At 42.0% G+C, this 20589-nt stretch overlaps 2 protein-coding genes across 62 annotated transcripts in view, besides 6 other annotated features; one reads left to right on the plus strand and one right to left on the minus strand.

Moving 5' to 3' along the window:
* Positions 1–15580, minus strand: part of TRIP12 (thyroid hormone receptor interactor 12) — a 159350-nt gene extending 143770 nt beyond the window's left edge. For 27 of the 61 annotated variants that reach the window (NM_001284216.2, XM_047446397.1, XM_047446395.1 and 24 more), the window contains exon 1: positions 14274–14403. The gene's annotated coding sequence lies outside the window, so the exon portion shown is untranslated. Of the gene's footprint in view, positions 1–1358; positions 1481–13664; positions 14184–14273; positions 14404–15541 lie in introns of those variants that run through there. The other 34 variants (XM_047446398.1, XM_047446396.1, XM_047446386.1 and 31 more) reach the window with 8 other exon arrangements.
* Positions 12721–12820: an enhancer, noted in NCBI's record as "active region_17205". NCBI's record gives its function as "activates an Ori minimal core promoter by ATAC-STARR-seq in GM12878 lymphoblastoid cells {active_cell/tissue: GM12878}" and the evidence as "EXISTENCE:reporter gene assay evidence [ECO:0000049][PMID:35858748]".
* Positions 13458–13958: an enhancer, noted in NCBI's record as "H3K27ac hESC enhancer chr2:230785780-230786280 (GRCh37/hg19 assembly coordinates)". NCBI's record gives its function as "activates a minimal SCP1, AML or CMV promoter by ChIP-STARR-seq in primed H9 embryonic stem cells {active_cell/tissue: H9 hESC(primed)}" and the evidence as "EXISTENCE:reporter gene assay evidence [ECO:0000049][PMID:30033119]".
* Positions 13896–14285: a silencer, noted in NCBI's record as "silent region_12404". NCBI's record gives its function as "represses an Ori minimal core promoter by ATAC-STARR-seq in GM12878 lymphoblastoid cells {active_cell/tissue: GM12878}" and the evidence as "EXISTENCE:reporter gene assay evidence [ECO:0000049][PMID:35858748]".
* Positions 13896–14459: a biological region, named in NCBI's record as "H3K27ac hESC enhancer GRCh37_chr2:230786281-230786781".
* Positions 13959–14459: an enhancer, noted in NCBI's record as "H3K27ac hESC enhancer chr2:230786281-230786781 (GRCh37/hg19 assembly coordinates)". NCBI's record gives its function as "activates a minimal SCP1, AML or CMV promoter by ChIP-STARR-seq in primed H9 embryonic stem cells {active_cell/tissue: H9 hESC(primed)}" and the evidence as "EXISTENCE:reporter gene assay evidence [ECO:0000049][PMID:30033119]".
* FBXO36 (F-box protein 36) overlaps positions 14897–20589 on the plus strand; it is a 90617-nt gene continuing 84924 nt past the window's right edge. Inside the window, exon 1 of the mRNA NM_174899.5 lies at positions 14897–15003. Coding sequence (NP_777559.3) covers positions 14908–15003 — 96 coding nt within the window. The 5' untranslated portion in view covers positions 14897–14907. The remainder of the gene's footprint in view (positions 15004–20589) is intronic.
* Positions 15116–15175: an enhancer, noted in NCBI's record as "active region_17206". NCBI's record gives its function as "activates an Ori minimal core promoter by ATAC-STARR-seq in GM12878 lymphoblastoid cells {active_cell/tissue: GM12878}" and the evidence as "EXISTENCE:reporter gene assay evidence [ECO:0000049][PMID:35858748]".

A 20589-nucleotide genomic window follows, 5' to 3' on the forward strand; every position in this document is an offset into this window, starting at 1 on the left:
CCAGCCTGGGCAACGTGGCAAGATTTCATCTCTACAATAAATAAAAAATTAACCAGGCATGGTGGCACATGTCTGCAGTCTTAGCTACTCCACAGCTAAGGCGAGAGGACCACTTGAGCCCACAAGTTCGAAGCTGCAGTGAGATATGATCACACAATTGCACTCCAGTCTAAACAACAGAGAGACCTTATCTCTAGAAAAAAATAACAAATTAATAATAATAATAGTTTACAAATGCAAGCACTTATCCTATACCAGGCATTGTTTTAAATGTTTTACATATATTAACTAATTTAATCCTCATAACAATCAGGATATATATACTATTTTTACTTCCATTTTACAGATGGGAGAACTAGTGTCAAAAAAAAAAAAAGGTTATTCAACTAGTAATGTTGGAGCCTAGATTTAAACTGAATCTCAGTGTTCGCTCTTACCCACTTCACTAAACTTATCATTATTCATACATTATCACATTATCCTCCACCAGCAGACTGTGCTAAGCTATATAAAGTACCACAGGCCCAGCCCTGAGCCAAGGGAAGGATTCAACACAGGTTAGTTGCTAATATTATTCAAGATGCCTTTTCTTAATATTCTTATCCCATTCATTTTCCACACCAGTGGACTGACCTAGATCATTAGACTATATTATATACCTTTTAAAGTGATACATCAAAAAGGGAACCAGGAATTTAAATCTGAATTCAAGGTGGGCAAATATATACAGATGCAAATAATGCAACTATTCTGAGAAATATCTTGGTAGTATTTTTACCATATTCTTTATTCCAAACAGTTGGTCATCTTATGAAGCATCCGCGTAACGTCTCACAATTCAGTTTAAGAGATTTTAGGCCGGGCGCGGTGGCTCACACTTGTAATCCCAGCACTTTGGGAGGCCGAGGCAGGCGGATCACAAGATCAGGAGATCAAGACCATGGTGAAACCCCGTCTCTATTAAAAATACAAAAAATTAGCCGGGCGTGGTGGCGGGCGCCTGTAGTCCCAGCTACTCGGAGAGGCTGAGGCAGGAGAATGGCATGAACCCGGGAGGCAGAGCTTCCAGTGAGCCGAGATTGCGCCACTACACTCCAGCCTGGGTGACAGAGGGAGACTCCGTCTCAAAAAAAAAAAAAGATTTTATGCTGCTGGACATGGTGGCTTACGCGCCTATAATCCCAGCACTTTGGGAGGCTATGCGGCCAGACATGATGGCTCATGCCTGTAATCCCAGCATTCTGGGAGGCCGAGGCGGGCAGATCACTTGAGGCCAGGAGTTCAAGACCAACCTGGGCAATATAGCGAGACCCCTCTACAAAAAATAAAAAAAATTAGCCAGTCACAGTGGCACATACCTGTGGTCCCAGCTACTGAGGAGGCTGAGGCAGGAGAATCACCTGAACCTGGGAGGCAGAGGTTGCACTGAGCTGAGATCACGCCACTGCACTCCAGCCTGGGTGACAGAGTGAGACTCTGTCTCAAAAAAAAAAAAAAAAAAGAGATTTTATGTTAGTTTTGTCCAAGTTTACCACTCTCCCTTTAAGACTGTAAACTCCAGGCCAAGGACTACATTTTATATATCTTTATAATCCTAAATCTTGGCCTAGGGCCTGAAATAAGAAGTGTTCAAAAATACTTATTATACCCTGATAAGGGCCAGGAGTGGTGACTCATGCCTGTAATCTCAGCATTTTGGGAGGCCACAGTGGAAGGATCACTTGAGCCTACGAGTTTGAGACCAGCCTGGGCAACATAGGGACACCCTGGCTCCACACACACAAAAAAAAAAAATTAAAATATTAGCTGGATGTGGTTGTGAACACCTGTAGTCCCAGCTAGTCAAGAGGTTAGGGTGAGAAGATCGCTTGAGCCCAGGAGGTTAAGGCTGCAGTGAGCAGTGACTGTGCCACTGGACTCCAGCCTAGGTGACAGCGTTGAGACCTTGTCTAAAAAAAAAAAAAAAGCCTGGTACAGTGGCTCATGCCTATAATTCCAGCATTTTAGAAGGCTGAGGCAGGAGGACTGCATGAGGCCAGGAGTTCAGGACCAGCCTGGGCAACCAAGATTCTGTCTTTACCAAAAAAAAAAAACAAAGTAGCCAGGTATGGTGGTGTGAGCCTGTAGTCTCAGCTACTCAGGAGGTGAAGGCAGGAGGATCACAAGATCCAAGGGCTTTCAAGGCTATGGTGAGACATGATTGTACCACTATGCTCCAGCCTGGGAGACAGAGTGAGACACCCAACTCTAAAAACAAAAAATATATATATACCATTTGCTTATAATTCACATGTATTAATTCCATATCCACTGCTAGAGTAACTGCACTGACATGCCTTAAATGATTGCTTTTCTAGGTTTGAGAGTATTGCTACATGCAATTCAAGCAACACCTTTAAGAGCTAAATGCAGCAGTTGCTGAAACCAAGATAACTCCTTTCCTTGAGCCATGATTCTAATACTAGCCCTTAAAATAGAAACAATTCCAGAATTTTTTTAGAACTGTTGTTTTACTAAGTCCTTGATTTTACACTCCTTAAAATAACTATAGATAGATTAAGCCATTCCTAACTTTACAACTGTCTGAAGAAATATGGAAAACTTCCCAAATCCTTTACTATTGCATTAAAAATTTAAATAAACTCAGCAGGAATCATGAAAAAGTTCTAAGTTTCTTGAGATACAGTAAACTCTCAGAAGTTAACTCTGTAATTATGAATCACCTTCATTTTCTTTTTTAGTAATAAGAAACAAAACCGTAACACTATGGCTGAATATCAGTAAACACATGAGTTAGGTAGTAGACCCATTTTATAGAAGAGAAAGAAACTCTGGTATTCCAGCAAACATAAGTTTACCAATTCCTTAAATGATTCAAGAAATAAACTGAGTATCAATTAAAACATGTACCACAATGAAGATATAAAATGATGGTGTATTAGCTCTTCAGTAATTCCTTTCAGTAGTCCTTACTTTCTGTAATGACAAGATACCTGGAAAAAATGTCATGGCCTAATATACAGGCAGCTGAAAAGTAATACTAGATGGTTAGAAGAGGCAGAAGGAGATTATCTTACAGCACCACACCAAAGGCTGAAATACCCCAAGTCTTAGTTCATAGCAGCAACTGGAAAGGCAACACTTTTCAAAAGGCAGGATGAAGAGTAGAGTAAAAAAGATGAACTCTGCAATTAACAGTCTAGTTTTCTGAAAGGATTTTGAGGCCAGAATGTGAAAATCAACACTAACATTACTAATGACAGTTGAGAAATAATTAGTAAATAGGTCTGATCACAAAGTTAAGACTACTGAATCTTCTTAAACATCAGCCTACTTGTTGCCATCTACTGGGGGAAGGGCACAAATGCATTTGGACCTGGGGTGGAAGGGTAGAGAGCAGGGTCAAATTCCCTTGAGACTAAGCTGCTTTCCCTAGGTGGGAAGAAATGAAAATACATGCTTCATATAAAGGAAAAAATATATGAAGCTGGGTGGCTGTTTTACAGAAAAACAGGCACTCTTGTGCTACAGCAGTAAAACAGATAGACTTCACGAATATTTTTATTCTAAAGTCCACAAAATGTTGGACAATACAGCCTTCCTTACTCTACAAACAGGTACAATTCTGAGTCATAAATCTGCATAGCTAGCATCTCTGCTTTCTACATAAGAATCAAATTAATCCAAACTGCAATTAGGAAAGTCTGTAAGAACACACCAGAAATAAAAGCTGCTAAAGAAAGCTAAATATCATAGCTATCAGAACACTGAAAAAAATTGTTTTTAGTTTCTCTTCAGCCACCATACAACCTAACTTCTCATTTTTAAAATCCTGTATACATACTTGTATAAAAGTAATGGTATCTGTTAAAGGATATAAAACTGTGCTAGATAGGAAGAGTATGTTCTCCTGTTCTATTCCACTGCAGGGTGACTATAGTTTAATATACAGTTTCAAATAGCTAGAGGGAAGATATTGAATGTCCCAACACAAAGAAATAATAAGTGTCTGTGATGATGGTATGCTAATTACCCTGGTCTGACTACTATACATTGTATGTATTGACACATTACTAAGTGCCCCATAAATACATACATATTATGTGTCAAAATAAAATTTTAAAAACAATTAAAGGGGTAACAACTCTACTATGCAGAGTGCAAAGCGAATATTTTATTAGAATATTTAATTTGATTAAACTATGTAATATTAATTTGTACTTTTTAAAAGTATTTACATATTTATCCCAGAGTCAGTAATGGCTAGAAAAAAAAAACCAGAAGTATTTAAATATTTAAGCCACAATTCACTTTTGTTTTAAACATAATTTCACTGTATTGAACGCTAAGCAAAAGTTTCCCTATATAAGACTTACAAATTACTGAGGACAACTCACAAAAAATCATGCATTAGGTATCAAAAAGTATTTTGAATTACAAAAAATCTGAACAAACAACAGTTGAATGTGCTGAGACAAAATGACTGATAGCTTCCACTAAAGGAAGACTTCTGTGTCCAACAGAGGACTGGTGTGGGTCATTTAGACAATAAACCAGCTTCTGCTTATTTAACATTTTAAACAACAGGAAAAAACAAGAAGTTTTACCTTCACTACTTCTATCTCCTCCAAAACTTAATACAAAAACTTTTATATGTAGTATCAGAAAGGGAAGCACTGTCATAAAAAATGACATCTAAAAGCACTTTTATTTTTGTTTTCAGTTCATTCATAAATATTTTTGTACACCTTTTTCACATCACCTATTCAGGGATCAACAATCATTCAACATAATCTGTTAAATCTAATTCCGTGATCTCCCATTTAAGAACTTCAATAATCTCAGCCCAATTTCCTGTTATTTCATATATATGGACCCTCTACTCCAGAGAGCCCATTTACCTTAATATTAGATCCTCACCACAATTACACCTTTAAGCTCCCCATTCTTCTATATCTTCCTCCAAACAATCAGGGCCAGTTTAAGCCCCTCTCTCTTCATAGTCTTCCTAAGTAACTTCAACCCAGAACTGAACCTCTCTAAACTTCCAAGTACCCACTGTATAAAACTCGATCTTGTACTTAATAACAAATATGCACAATGTTAGATGTTGTGTGCTGTAGTCGTAAGTTTCAACTCATCTACAACAAAGTACATTTCAAGATAAGGAATCTCCTTTTATAAATCTCTTCTTTTTCAGCACCCTCTAAGAGGGCAGATCTTGTATGGAACCAGATATGCACTCACATTAGCTGCTGATGAGTATTTGTTTTTGTTTTTTGAGACAGAGTCTCACTCTGTGGCCTAGACTGGAGTGCAGTGGCATGACGCACTGCAGCCTCAACTTCCTGGGTTCAAGCAATCCTCCCAAGTAGCTGGGGCTACAGGCATGCACCACCACATCAGGCTAATTTTTTATTTTTAGTAGAGATGATGTCTTGCTGTGTTGCCTAGGTTGGTCCTGAACTCCTGGGCTCAAATCATCCTCCTGCCTCAGCCTCCCTAGGGGTTGGAATTACAGGCATGAGCCACAGCACCTGGCTGAATATTTGTAAATGAAGATGCTTCAACAATTTATTTAGTATAGCCACAAATCATGCCCTAATTCATGTTTCTTAATTTACATTCTAATATCAGATTTTCTAAATGCAGAAAATCTACATTTAGAATTTTACAGAATATTTCTCTATGCTAAATACTATACTCCTATATACAGTTTTAGACAAATAAGCTGTGATGGAATAAGATAAATATCAACTATATGAAACATAACAGAACTTGGAAGACAAGGAATAAGTTTCAGGTCCCTTTTATATTCTGTCAAGCACAATTGTGGCACACAGTAAGCACTTGATAAATATGTATTGATAAATAAATCATCATCTACTAATAAACATCATCTCCAAATGCTAAATTTGGGGTAACCAACTAACTAAAATATTCTAGGGTCTTAACAATTCCTTAAGTAGCTGATTTTAATGAGCCTAATTTTGAAAAATTTATATTCTACACTCAGCTGCCAACCCCTGAAAAATGAAAACAAGCAAGTAAATTATGGCAAACGATGCTAATATTATTTCACAACATCGTTTCTCAATGTGTCACACCAGAACACACTACCACGTACACCTACCATGTACAATGCATTATGTTGGAAGCCTTGTGCTAGACACTGTGAAGATAAAAGAATGAGATCTCTACCTTGAAGAGGCCAAAAACCCAGTTAAGTTAAAATGTAAACAACTAATTATGTAAGACAGAACGTGAAAGTCATCCTGAAATATGTTACAGAAGGAGAATAGGAGAGTAAGGAGTAAAAATTTTAAAGGAGTCACTGGAAGAAAGTTAAGTGTAAGTATATATATTTCTAAGAGATACAGGCCAGGCGCGGTGGCTCACACTTGTAATCCCAGCACTTTGGGAAGCCGAGGTGGGTGGATTGCCTGAGGTCAGGAGTTGGAGACCAGTCTACAATCCCAGCTACTCAGGAGGCTGAGGCAGGGAATCGCTTGAACCAAGGAGGTGGAGGTGGAGGCTGCAGTGAGTCGGGATCGCACCACTGCACTCCAGCCTGGGCGGCAAAGCAAAACTCTGCCTCAAAAAATAAAAATAATAATAAAAATAATAGATACAAGATGTGAGAGGGGGTGTCAATTCAAGTAGACAAAAAACCAAAGCAAAAATGCTAAAAAGTTGCTGGGTGTGTTCAGAGAGGAAGAAACAGTTCAATCTGATTGCAGCCAAGGATGTAAAACAGAATTACGAAACACTGGGGTCTGAGAAGTTGACAGCATTTGCATATATTTCCTATTTACAAGGCTACTAGAAGCACTTGGTTTTTGAGAATCAAAAAAAGTAGGGGACATTCATATGATCTCTATGAACCTGCTCTCTAAGGACACAAAGTAGCTTAAATTACAACTGAAGAGAGAATTTCAAGAGATGGGCTACTGTGAAAACTCACTTTAGGTTTCCAGGGCATCGCACATGTTTACCAGTATAAAATCTTTAAATTAAGTTCATCTGACCTTAAGAACACAGCACAAGGTACATCTATTTATTCAGAGCACTGCCCACGGCTAGAGTGAGTAGGAGTTTTGAAGTCAGGGTAGAACTCATTGGTTATGACAGCCAACAAGTTGATTAAAATACACACTGAAATGCTGTAACTTCAAGTCTTGAAGGCTTGTTGATGGACACTTAGGCTTATAAATAGCCTTCAAAAATCCATGTATGGGTAATAACACCATATTTATAGAAATATGTACATGCTCTCTAAAAAGAAACAAACAGAATAAACTACAATGATGTATACTATTATAAATTGGAAACACTAATCATTTAGCACTGCATTAAAACATATTGGCCAGGCACAGTGGTTCATTCTTGTAATACCAGCACTTTGGGAGACCAAGGCGGGTGTATCACGTGAGGTCAGGAGTTCAAGACCAGCCTGGCCAACAGAGTGAAACCTGTCTCTACTAAAAATACAAAAAATTAGCTGGGTGTGGTGGCAGGCACCTGTATCCCGGCTACTCGGGAGGCTGAGGCAGGAGGATTGCTTGAACCCGGGAGGCAGAGGTTACAAGTGAGCCAAGATTGCGCCACTGCACTCCAATCTGGACAACACAGCGAAACTCAATCTCAAAAAAAAAACTTATTTAGGTCCTCAATGTACTTTATCAACTATTACATGCACATAATGGTCAATTAAAGAGTAACAAAATGGCTTGCCCTAATTCTTTTTAAAATGTATGATTTAAAGTAACTTGCAGTCTCCAAAATATATACTGACTAAAAGTCTCAAAGTCATTTTAGCATTAACGATGCAAAATAAGAATCAAAATTTTAAAAATAGGACATTAAGCCATTACAAAATATTTCCACTTACAGTATCTTATTTTATTTTCACAAGACTTATTCTGTCAACAAACGCTTAATCCCTATCATGGGCCAGCTACTGTGCTAGATGCAGAGATAAAAAGGGACACTACTTGGGATTAGTGTCCTTATAAAAGTTAAAAAAAGGGTGAGGGCTAAAGACTTTAAAGAATTCATAATCAACTAAGGAATACTATTGTATACTAAAAAAAAAAAAAAATTTTTTGAGACAGGGTCTCACGGTCACCCAGGCTGGAGTGCAGTGGCACAATTACAGCTCAGCACAGCTTCCATCTCCCAGGCTCAAGCAATCCTCTCACCTCAGCCTCCCAGGTAGCTGAAGACTACAGGCATGTGCCACCATGCCCAGCTAATTTTTTACTTTTAGTAGCAACAAGGTCTCTACTAAGTTGCTCAGGCTAGTCTCAAACTCCTGGGCTCAAGTGATCCTCCTGCCTCAGCCTCCCAAAGTTCTGGAATTACAGGCATGAGCCACTGGGTCAAATGTTTCAAGTAGGATACCTATGCATATAACAGAGGTATGTTCGAGTTAAAAGAGTTTTAACAAATGAGGCAATGGTCCACAGTACTGTAAACAAGTGGAGAAAGGGCCTTGTGTTCCAATTCATCTGTGGAGCCTAATCTAAATACAGAATGTCTAGCATATAAATGACAACTGACTCTACATTAGGTGGTAATAATCAAATTTTTCAGATTAGGCACTTGAAGCTCACAAAGTACTAAGTTAAATTATTTGCCCAAGGTTACAAAGATGGGAAATGCATAGCCAGGATTGGAACCTAAGTCTTGCCTTCAAATCAGATAATCACTTGAACAGTGCTATTAAGGAAAACACACAGTAGCAGGTATTTTTCACTCTAGACCATTTGAATGACTTTTTAAATCAAGCATAACCATGATAGCCAAGTGTGGAGGTGCCCGTCTGTGATCCCAGTATTTGGGAGGCTGAGGCAGGAGAATCACTTGAACCTGGAAGGTGGAGGTTGCAGTGAGCCGAGATCGCGCCACTGCACTCCAGCCTGGGTGACAAAAGTGAGACTCTGTCTCAACAAACGAACAAGCATAACCATGAAACTGACTACTGCCAATAGCTTCTGCACTCTCAAGACAAAGCAGGTAAGCCTGAATAATGGGTAAGTTCCTTTTTCTTCTATCCAATTCAGTTTAATGAAATCACTGAAATCACAATAAACAACCAAAATCTAAAAGGCCTCAGAGAAAAATGACTGAACAGACTTATTTCAGTCTAGGAAACCTCTTTTTGCCAATAACCTAAAACTATCAGTAAGTTAGGATATTAAAGAACTACATTTTTAAAAAACCCAAGACATTAGCAGAGTTAAATTTTACTTAAAAAAAAAAAAAGAAAAATCAAGGGACAGGTCTAGCATCGGTATACTTATCTATTTATTACAAATAACAGCAAGCATCCATTATGCACAGAGAAACCCAGCAGAGAGGTAGAGAACAACTGCTTTGAGGTTATGTCTTCAAGTCTGTAACACAGCTGCTGAAATGATACACAAGTACCAAAAGAAAATACACAAGTAAAGCTTACATTACACTACACGTTAAGAATTACCAAGCACTGGCCGGGCGCGGTGGCTCACGCCTGTAATCCCAGCACTTTGGGAGTCCAAGGCGGGTGGATCACGAGGTCAGGAAATCAAGACCATCCTGGCTAACAAGGTGAAACCCCATCTCTACTAAAAATACAAAAAAATTAGCTGGGCGTGGTGGCTGGCACCTGTAGTCCCAGCTACTCGGGAGGCTGAGGCAAGAGAATGGCATGAACCCTGGAGGCGGAGCCTGCAGTGAGCCAAGATCGCGCCATTGCACTCCACCCTGGGCAACAGAGCGAGACTCTGTCTCAAAAAAAAAAAAAAAAAAAAAAAAAAAAAAAAAAAAAAATTACCAAGCACTAAGATTATATACAACAATCTAAAAATTATATTTATTCTGTAACATCCACCAGATTTTTACTCTTCCACCCTATCTGGCCTGGACTCTCCTCAGGCTTGGCCTTATTAACTAAAGCTTGGCCTATGAAAAAAGTGGCACAGAATAATCCACTGGCTTAACACTAAAACATGGCAGTGACAGTTGATATCCATCCAGGCACTCTAATGGCACGTTAGTCAGGGGAGATGTGAAGAGGCCCTGATCACTGAACCAACCAAGAGAAAGCATTCTGAAGAATCTGCTGGGGTCAAAGAACCCTTCCAAGCAGGTTGGAGTCCAGTGGCATGATCATAACTATTAACTTCAAATCTCTGGGTTCAAGCAATACTTCCGCTTCAGCCTCCAAAGTTGCCTAGAACTACTGATGCATGCCACCATGCCCAGCTAACTTTTTTTTTCTTTTTTGTGGAGACAGTCTCACTATGTTGCCTGGGCTACAACTCCTAGCCTCAAGCGATCCTCCCACGTCCTCACCTCCAGTGCCACCTCACCCAGACCAATCAGGTTTATTAGTATACCTTCACACATACCACATTGACATGAAATCATCCTTGCCCTCAGGAAGCCTACAGTCCAATCAGGGAAACAAAAGCAACACATGTCAACAAATGCAATACTGTAATGCAGAAACGAAGCAAGTACAGTTAATCAGAAATACAAAGATCACAGGTAGAAACTTGTTCGAGGAAGTGATCTGAAGACATGAGTTGTAAGTTGTTCTTCACATCCTTTATCTTCTATGTTTTTCTGTACATAGTGGGTGCTTGCTTGATTTAAATGAGGGAAAAGTCCATGTCAAACAGGCAATTGCAAGGAATGATTTCAGTGAAGATTAAAAAACCAAGTAGGTTGCTGTTTTGACTTGAGTCCATCAAATAGCAAACAAAAAAATAAAGGAGCAACTGGTATCACATTTGCTCAAAAAGATCCCTACCCATCCACTTAAAAGGGGGGAAAGTTCCCTAGGTTCTGTAAAGAAAACAGTGACCAAGATTCAGAAGCATTATTCCCTAATTGTAATCTCTTACATTAAGTCAATTTCATTAGAGTCACAAACCAGAACAGGTACTTTGTCAATAAAAAACGTAAATGAATTTGAAGTTTCTTTAAACATATTAACAAGTTTTTTCAGTAGAATGTATGGCAAACAAGTATCTGGCATGCTGATACCAAAAAAAGAAGGTAACTTTAAAAAGACAAAAATGAGACCCAAATTCTACTACCAATTAAGCAGCAATTTCAAATTATGAAGTTCTATAACTCTGTACCTTCAACCTAGTTTACATTAATTCTCCCCTGCCCCATGGACCACCACGACTAATGAGAAGCTGTATCTTTTAAAAATGACCTCAAAACAGCTCATGTAATTTTCTAAAATTAATTTATTTAGCATGTTGTTTTTTTTCAGTCATTACATCTGTTGGGTCTCACAACCACCCAGTGAGGTAAAATAGAGATTACCCACTCCCATTTTACAGATAAAATAAATGAAGACCAGATAGGTTAAGTGACTAGCTCAAGGTCACAAAGCTACTAACTGGTAGTGTGTGAATTTCCAAGCCAGTGATGTTTTCCTTGCTAAGATGAAAACCTTAAAATAAAGCAGGATATTAAAACCTTGTCTAGATAACATAAATACAATAATCTTACAAGTTACACTGGGGCCGGCGTGGTGGCTCTCCCCTGCAATCCCAGCACTTTGGGTGACCAAGGCAGGCGGATCACCTGAGAGGTCGGGAGTTCGAGACCAGCCTGGCCAACATGGTGAAACTCTGTCTCTACTAAAAATGCAAAAATTAGCCGGGCGTGGTGGCGCGTGCCTGTAATCTCAGCTACTCAGGAGGCTGAGGCAGGAGAATCGCTTGAACCAGGAGGCAGAGGTTGCATTAAGCCTACACTGCACCACTGCACTCCAGCCTAGGCGACAGAGCAAGATTCTGCTTTAAAAAAAAAAAAAGTTACAATGGGAAAGGAATCATACATGGAATCATACATTACTACAAATTTACTTTGCCAGGTGAAAGTACTGATTTTACCGTGATCTACCTAGCATCCCATTCGTTTTTTAAATGTAACTACTTTAGTTTAGCACCTTCTGGAACCTAACTGCCAAAATTGTTCTCAAACTTTTTGAAAGTAAATGAAAAAAAAAAAGAAAAATAAAGCCTGTTCATAGACTCAAACTAAGTAGTATAAATGTCAGCTGAACAGACTTAAAAACTGCTCACACTCCAGAAAAACTGGGGATTGAATGGAAACAATGATAATCTTAATTACAGTTTTCCAATTCTTATGGATATTGGCACATTCATAGAAAGGCAGACATGTACAAAGCCCACAAACCCCAATCATATTATGTACTCTTAAGCTTAAAATAAAACTCCCTCAATCTCACAAAGATAGTCACAGCAGTTCAACATTTCTGGGGCTGAACACACAGCAGGAAGTGTCAAAAGAAAGAATTAGAAATTCTGTATACTTTAAAACTTACACTTAATATTGATCACTTTGCATGTGGTAAATATGAAAATCAGCCTCAATAAAATCCTCTACAATTTATTGTCTCTAAACCTCTGCTAATTCCATTCCTCAACCCCCCCGGGGTGTAAATGCGACACACACAGGCCTCATATACAGGCCTCTTGCCTTTTTTTCTAACACAACTAGGACCTTTGTTCTGAGCGTCGTTTTACCCCACTCAATAGCTCTTTCAACTTTCTACCCCGTATTTTTTGTTTTGTTTTTAAAGAGGAGACTCTGAGACTCAACTTGCTAGGTCTTTAAAAAATGAAATGCCAAAAATACCTAATGAGACTCTCGAGAGGAACATAAAGTTAAACACATCACTAAAGGGCCTACAAAACGGAGTAAAGCCCGGAGATCGGGTGATCTGGCAGCCCAGGCAAGATCGAGGACCGCGACTAGGAAAGGAGACAGCAGGAGAGCAGTTAGACGTCCACTTAGAACGGATTCACTGCGCTATTAACCGTACCCGCCTCCCCCCGCACCGGCCCAACCTTTACACACAAACACATTCCCTCCCCCAATTAACTAAAGAAGCAATTAAACTATGCCCACCACCAGACTCGATGCTTAGGCTAAACCTCCCCCAAAGTAAAACAGCATTATCAAAAAAACACAACATTTGTCTTAAGGGTTTGGAAGCTGCCCCTTCCGTTATCTCCTCACCACGTAAGGTAACCAATTCCCTCCTGTCCCCCACCAGGAGTTCAAAGTGTGATTTCCCCCCGATTTACATGTGTTTTTATGTTTTTCCGCATTTTTCCGTCTAGGAAATGAAGGATTTCTTATTCTGAGGAAGGGAGAGACGCCGAGGAAGACAGGATTTGAGGTTTTACTACCTTCGTTATTCGAACTCCCCTCTAACTTGTTCCTGTACTAGAAACCCACTCACTATGGAGAAGGAAGGAGAGGGGCTGAACTGATGGACAAACGTTGTAAATAATAGGTTTTATGTAATCCACATATAAATAAATTAATCGCCTGACTCGCTCTGAATGCTAATACGATTGGGGTGACAATTGGCCCACCTCCCTCCCCCAAGTCCTAGTTAAACCCACCTACCACCAATTTCCATTCTGATCTATTTAAAAGGATACTCTATTCCTCTCAGTCAAGTTTCTCGGCTTCTTTAGGCCTCCCTGCATGCCCCCCTCGTCATCATCCTCCCTCAGCCTCAACTTCCCACGGCTTAAAAAACTGCCCCGCGCAGACCCCGTCTCCGGGCTCGCCCTCCCTCAACCGTCCCTCGCCGTCCCCCTGGGCAGGAAACCCCTTACTGCGGTCTAAAGTCTCTCTGGCCTCTCCCTTCTCTGACCCTCGCTTCCCACAACTGTTGTCACTGGAGCTGCTTCCTAGTTTCCATTTCCGGGCCGTCCACGGCCCCGGAGCCTCCCCTTTCCCGATTTCCGGGCCCCTCGTCCCATTTCCGGGGAACCCTTGCCGTCTTCACACCCCCCACCTGCACTTCCGGCCCCCCACTTTCTCTCTTCCCAGACACCCTCCAAGCTCCAAAGCCCACTTCCGGCCCCCCTTGGTCCCCGCCGAGCTCCCCAACACCCGCAAGCCTTACCCCGGTTCTGTGAAGGGCCCTCCTCATTGCGGGAAGCCGGAGGAGGGACCCAGCGACCCCTACCTCCCGCCAGGCCCCGGTCCCTCCGGCCGCGGCCGCCCTCGAGCGTCTCTCCCGTCCACCCCCGGCCCGGTCCTTCCGCGGCCCCGCCGCCGCCGGCGCCGGGAGCAGGCCAAGCGGGGGCCGAATCGCGGCGATGACACAACCGGGCTTCCTGGGACTTTCTGTTCCAGCTCCTCCCCCCGCCCCCCCAACCCCTCAGCTGGCCCCCTCCCCCAAGGCTTGCCCCCGCCGCCCAGAGCTGCGCCCCAATTACCTAGTTAGGCCCCAAAGTCTCCGGTCCGGACTCGGTGGCGCGGCAGTAACTTCCACTAGCTCCCCCCACCCCCCCCAGCGGCGCGGCGGCGGCGGCTCCGGGTTCCTTCAATTATCAGCTGAGCCGCAGCACCGCGCCCGGCGTGCGCCTCCGCCCGTGCCGCCTCCCTCCCCGCCTGCTCTGACACCCTCGGGGAACTACTTTGTCCTCGGGCTCCGGTTACGGGCTCGTCCGCGGGACCGGCACCGCTGCCTACTGGCGGCCCATCACATCGCCCCTCCCTCCCACGCCTCCCGGCTCGACTCTCTCAGCAGCCTCCGATCTCCGCCCGATCCCTTCGAGGGACCAGGAAGGGGACTGTGGAGATCTACTTGGTATCCCTCCGCCGGGGTCACCCCCTCCCCTCCGTGGTAGCAGGAACTAATTCCCCCTCGGGTCACCCGGGACCTGGAGCTGGAAATTTCACGGATCAGGGTTCCCTAAGACCCTTGGAAGAGGGGACGATCGCCCCAAGTTAGAAATCCTTCTGCCAGCTCATAAGCGTGGTTCAATTTAAACTAGGGTTTTGGCCCCTTGACCCCAACCAAGCCCCGCCCCTTCCTGGTTGTCTTAGCGACGGCGGTGGCGTCCCAAGATGGCGTCGTGGCTGCCGGAGACTCTCTTTGAAACTGTAGGACAAGGCCCGCCGCCTAGCAAAGACTATTACCAGTTACTGGTCACCCGGTCTCAGGCAAGTGCGAGCCGCGGTTTACCCTCTCTCCTAACTCCCTACCTGGCCCGGTTGGGGCCCGGGACGCAGGCTGTGCTAGGCCAAGAGCAACCGTAGCCCGCCGGAAGCGCCCAGTCCCGGCTCCGCGCCGGGAGATTTTCCTCGTCACCTCGGCCTCCTCGGTCCGACGGCCCGCGTGTCCCTGCTCTCCCCGAGCCCGGCTAGTCCCTGGCAAGCCTTCTCTGCCTCCCCGCGGTGCCGCGTGCTCCTTTCCCGCCACCCCGGCTTCTTACCCGTAGAGTTTCCTCCGCGCGAAGAGGAAAACGGGCGTCTCCGGCTTGCGTGCGGCCTCACCTCAGCGTGAGAAGGAGGGAAAGAACGACTCAGCCAAGTGTCCCAAGGAGGAGCCGGCTAGGGAGGGGAAAAGGAGATTGCCTCTTTTCCAGGATAGGAATTAATCATGGAGAATTTTATAAATCTCTTTGTGGCCTTTACGCGTGCCACGGCCACATCAAAACTTAGTTATTTCTAGTAGCAACTGACGATTGGGAGCTCTTACCTTTTGGAGTCCCTTCTATCCCATTGAAAGTGTGCGGGTGGTGGTATAAAAATGTTTCAGCTGCTCTGCGCTTCAGCCCCACCCATAATGACATCTGCTCCACAACAATAAGACCGAGGATTATATTATCTCCAAAGTAACCATCGGCCTATTTTTATGCCTACTTTGGTTATTGAAGGTGGGCTTTTGGATGATTTACTGTGTCCATGAAATTCTCAACTTGAGCGGGGCCTCCATTGGGAAGACGTTTCTAATCCTGGCTGAGTTTACGCCTGTCACTGAGTTATTCATGCACCCTGCCCTTTCAATAGATACTATTCCTATAAAATGAAATTTAGAAGTTTGTATATATTTGTTTTGGTGTGCATATTGATCATTCCCTCAGTTTTTCCAGGAGCCCTTAAACAAAATAGGTAATGAGTTAATTTTTTTATATTTTTGAAAGCATCTTTTAAAATATAAATGTTAATATATATTTTTTAATTTAAGATTTAGAAATATTACAAATGTAAAATCAGCCTGTCCAAAAAAAATTTTTTTTAAAACAGTACTGCTCCTTGCGGAGCAGGGCTAATTCATAGGCAGTGGGCCCAGGGTCAGACTCAAATTTTTAATTAAACTGTTCTTAGGGGGTTTTGCACATTTAGTGATGTATGAAATACTGAAAGGTATCCTTTTCTGTACTTTTTTTTTGGTGTTGTTTTTTTTTTTTTTTTTTTTTTTTGAGACGGAGTCTCGCTCTGTCGCCAGGCTGGAGTGCAGTGGCGCGATCTCGGCTCACTGCGACCTCGTTTCACCATGTTGGCCAGGATGGTCTCGATCTCTTGATCTCGTGATCCGCCTGCCTCGGCCTCCCAAAGTGCTGGGATTACAGGCGTGAGCCACCGCGCCCGGCCTTGTACATTTTTTAAACGGATTATTGATTTTTCCATTTGTTTTAAGATTTGTTTGTTTATTTATCGAGAGGGAGTCTCCCTCTGTTGCCCAGGCTGGAGTGCAGTGGCGCGATCTCAGCTCACTGCAACCTCCGCATCTCCTGGGTTCAAGCGATTCTCCTGCCTCAGCCCCCCGAGTAACTGGGATTACAGGCGTGCGCCACCACACCCAGCTAATTTTTGTATTTTTAATAGAGACGGGGTTTCGCCATTTTGGCCAGAGTGGTCTCCAACTCCTGACCTCAGGTGATCCAGCTGCCTCGGCCTCCCAAATTGCTAGGATTATAGACTTGAGCCACCGAGCCTGGCTGGCTTTAAGATTTATGATCCTAACATTTCTTCACCTCCTAACATGAGTGGTCAAAAATATAATCTGTTCTAATCTTACATGATTTTCTATTTTTATCTACCTCAAGTAAGTTAGAATGTTTTAATTTTTACAGCCTTTAAAAATTTGTCTTTTTTTGCATTTTCTTTCCCCTGAAGGTCTGGTATTTTACAAGTATGCTTCATTTCTCTCATTTGTAAGCCTCACCAGGCTGAGTATCTTGTTACCTTTTTATTTTAGTAAATTATCCTTAGGAGTGCTCCCTGGCATTCGGCTTCCTAAAGAATAATTCTGTTGTTGGTGTTCTTCAGACTTTGCTCTCAAGTCTAACTTAGGCGCATGCCTTCCTCTAACTACTCTTTTTTTTTTTTTCTTTGAGGCAGCGTCTCGCACTGTCGCCCAGGCTGGAGTGCAGTGGCTCAATCTCAGCTCACTGCAAGCTCCGCCTCCTGGGTTCACACCATTCTCCTACCTCAGCCTCCCCAGTAGCTGGGATTACAGGCGCCCGCCACCACGCCCGGCTAATTTTTTGTATTTTTAGTTGAGATGGGGTTTCACCGTGTTAGCCAGGATGGTCTCTATCTCCTGGCATTACAGGCGTGAGCCACCGCGCCCGGCCCTAACTACTCTTTTTTAAGAAATCTTTCCCACCATCCCTTCAGTGTTCTTAATTTTTCTTTTTCTTTCTTTATTTTTATTATTTATTTATTTATTTTTTATTTTTTGCAAGTGAAAAACTCTCCTTTATCTCAGGTTCTGTCAGTTACATATATATAAAATCCTAAATTCTGATCCATTTTCTTTTTTAAGCATGCTGAATAAATCCACTACACTTCTACCAGTGAGAGTTAATCTCCAAGCTAATTAATTCACCCTCTTTTTAAAGTAAAATTTGTTGTAAAAAATGGCATGCCAAAAAAATATACTTTTCAGTCAACTGCCTTGAGAATATGCTATTTTCTAACCACAAGACAATTTTTCTGAGTCTCAGCACAGGAAACCAAACATCCAGTAAGAGGTGGCCTGACATAAATAAGTACTAAAAGACTAGCATTAAAATATGTTTTATAAGATAGATTTTTTTTCTGGAATGACTTTCTAAAATTATTTCTTGTACATTTCCTCCCCTTTCTCCTGTCTTTATTTTTTTAATGTTGTATATTATCCAAATTATGCCCCAGATTTAGATGAATCCTTCTTTCATGCTGATTCTGTTTTTTAGTCTCTTTTTCACTGCATCTTTTTCGTTGGCCTTAAATCCAAATAACTGCACATTTGACATGGATTTGAGGGCAGATATTTCTCTCATTAGTGTCATACCACCACTGACATAGTCCAGAATATAAATGTTATACATAAACATTTTCTTTGTTTATATAGTAACATTTGAAATATACTGTATGCTTATACAGGCACTTCTCTTTTACTGCTTGATACCATGTTGTTTTGGGTCTTGGGAGAGGGGTTTTATTCAAATAAATAACTTTTGGATTACAGCTTGGGGTCAGTTTAGTTTCTCGAAGCTGATCTTTATAATGATGATCTCCAGCTTTAGAAAAAATAGTGCGCTGCTTTCTAAATCAAAGATTCACTCAAGGGTTGGGCACAGTGGCTCAAACCTGTAATCCCAGAATTTTGGGAGGCTCAGGTGGGAGGATTGCTTGAACTAAGGAGTTTCAGACCAGCCTGGGCAACATAGCAAGACCCCTTCTCTTAAAAAAAAAAAAAAAAAAAAGGGGGGGCTGAGCACAGCTCATGCCTGTAATCTCAGCACTTTGGGAGGCCGACACAGGCAGATCACTTGAGGCCATGAGCTCGAGACCAGCCTGGCCAACATGGCAAAACCCCATCTCTACTAAAAATACAAAAAATTAGCTGGGCATGGTGATGCACGCCTGTAGTCCTAGCTACTCGGGAGGCTGAGGCAGGAGAATCGCTTGAACCCTGGAAGCAAAGGTTGCAGTGAGCTGAGATCACACCACTGCTCTCCAGCCTGGGCAACAAAGCAAGACTCAGTCTTTAAAATAAATAAATAAATAAATAAGATTTACTTGGCCAGGTGTGGTGGCTCACACCTGTAATTCCAGCATTTTGGGAGCCTGACGGGTGGATCACTTGAGGTCAGGAATTCAACACCAGCCTGGCCAACATGGTAAAACCCTGTCTCTACTAAAAATAAAAAAATTAGCTGGGCATGGTAGCATGAGCCTGTAATCCCAGCCACTGGGTAGGCTGAGGCAGGAGAATCACTTGAACCCAGGAGACAAAGGTTGCAGTGAGCCGAGATCTCACCACTGGGCAACAGAGTGAGACCCCATCTCAAAAACAAAAAAAAAAATACTGTTATTCTTACTCTAGCTCTAGTAGTTTACATATATTTTCTTATATTGGATTCTAATTCTTTGAAAACCAGTAGATTAATAAAGTGTTAGGGGTGGAAAGGATCTTTGTTTTTTTTTTGTTTTTGCAACAAGAGCCTCACTCTGTCATCCAGGCTGGAGTGCAGTGGGGTGATCTCGGCTCACTGCAACCTCCACCTTCTGGGTTGAAGTGATTCTCCTGCCTCAGCCTCCTGAGTACCTGGGATTACAGGCACCCGCCACCATGCCCAGCTAATTTTTGTATTTTTAGTAGGGATGGGGTTTCACCATGTTGGCCAGGCTGATCTTGAACTCCTGGCCTCAAGTGATCTGCCCGCCTTGGCCTCCCAAAGTTCTGGGATTACAGGGGTGAGACACCAAACCTGGCCAGGGCTAGAAAGAATCTTGAATATTATTTAGTTTGTACTTTCATGACACATATATATTCCTATTTATAGTGGGGAGAATGTAGCTAGTATTTGATTTGTAAAAACACTTTAATGACTAATCTTTTATATGTTGTATTTTTTTTTAACTCCAAAGGAAGTTCATGACCAATTGGCAAGTTAATGAGTGCAGGTGTTTTAAAATCTATGAGTTTAGAAGAAGCAAAAAATCACTTTATTCTAAGTGGTCCAGGAGGGTACTGTTACCAGTATTGTACTCTTGAAATGTTGTCTTCTTTGTCCTCTCAAAATGGAAGTGTTGCTTAGGTGGCCAGAACAGTTAACTTAGGTTTAATGTGACAAATACTGGAAAAGTGTTAGAAAGAGAATAATGGTATGCTAAGTAGATGGGAACTGGCAGATACGGCCTCTTGCAGCCAATAACCCAGGTGGTTGTCCGAAGAGCACCAATATGTTATAGTTAACTCCAGCAGATGAAAGAAGGAAGAATTGGGCAATAGATTCGTCTTGTTTTATCTCTTTTTCTAAATCCTATCCAAAGCTCCAAAAAGATATATGAAGCTAGTGTCATTTGAAAAAAAAAAAAAAATGAAAAAGCTCACCCCTCTAAAAAAAATGGCAATTATTTTTGAAGTGCATTAGAGTTGTGGCACTAAAGACTGAAAACACCTGAGGTTGCATGCCAGCCTGTGACAGGAAGCTGTCATCTCAATGACTTCTGACAAAAGAATTAAACTAGACTTGGTGATGGCTGGGCGAGAGACAACAAAAAATTGAGCTAGTGCCATTTCATACTGCAGACCAATTTTGAAGATTTAAAATGTAAATGCAGTCTAATAAAAATGTTAATGCACACACCCTTTGACCCAGCAAATCCATTTCTAGGATTTGGATATCCAAAAATGCTATCACATGTGCACAAGGATATGTGAGCAAGATTATTGACCAAAGTCAATAATTGTAAAAACATTTTTCCATGAGAGGAAATGTGGTTAAACTGTGATTCATTCATGCCATA

Source organism: Homo sapiens, chromosome 2, assembly GCF_000001405.40.
Source record: "Homo sapiens chromosome 2, GRCh38.p14 Primary Assembly".
NCBI lineage: Eukaryota > Metazoa > Chordata > Mammalia > Primates > Hominidae > Homo > Homo sapiens.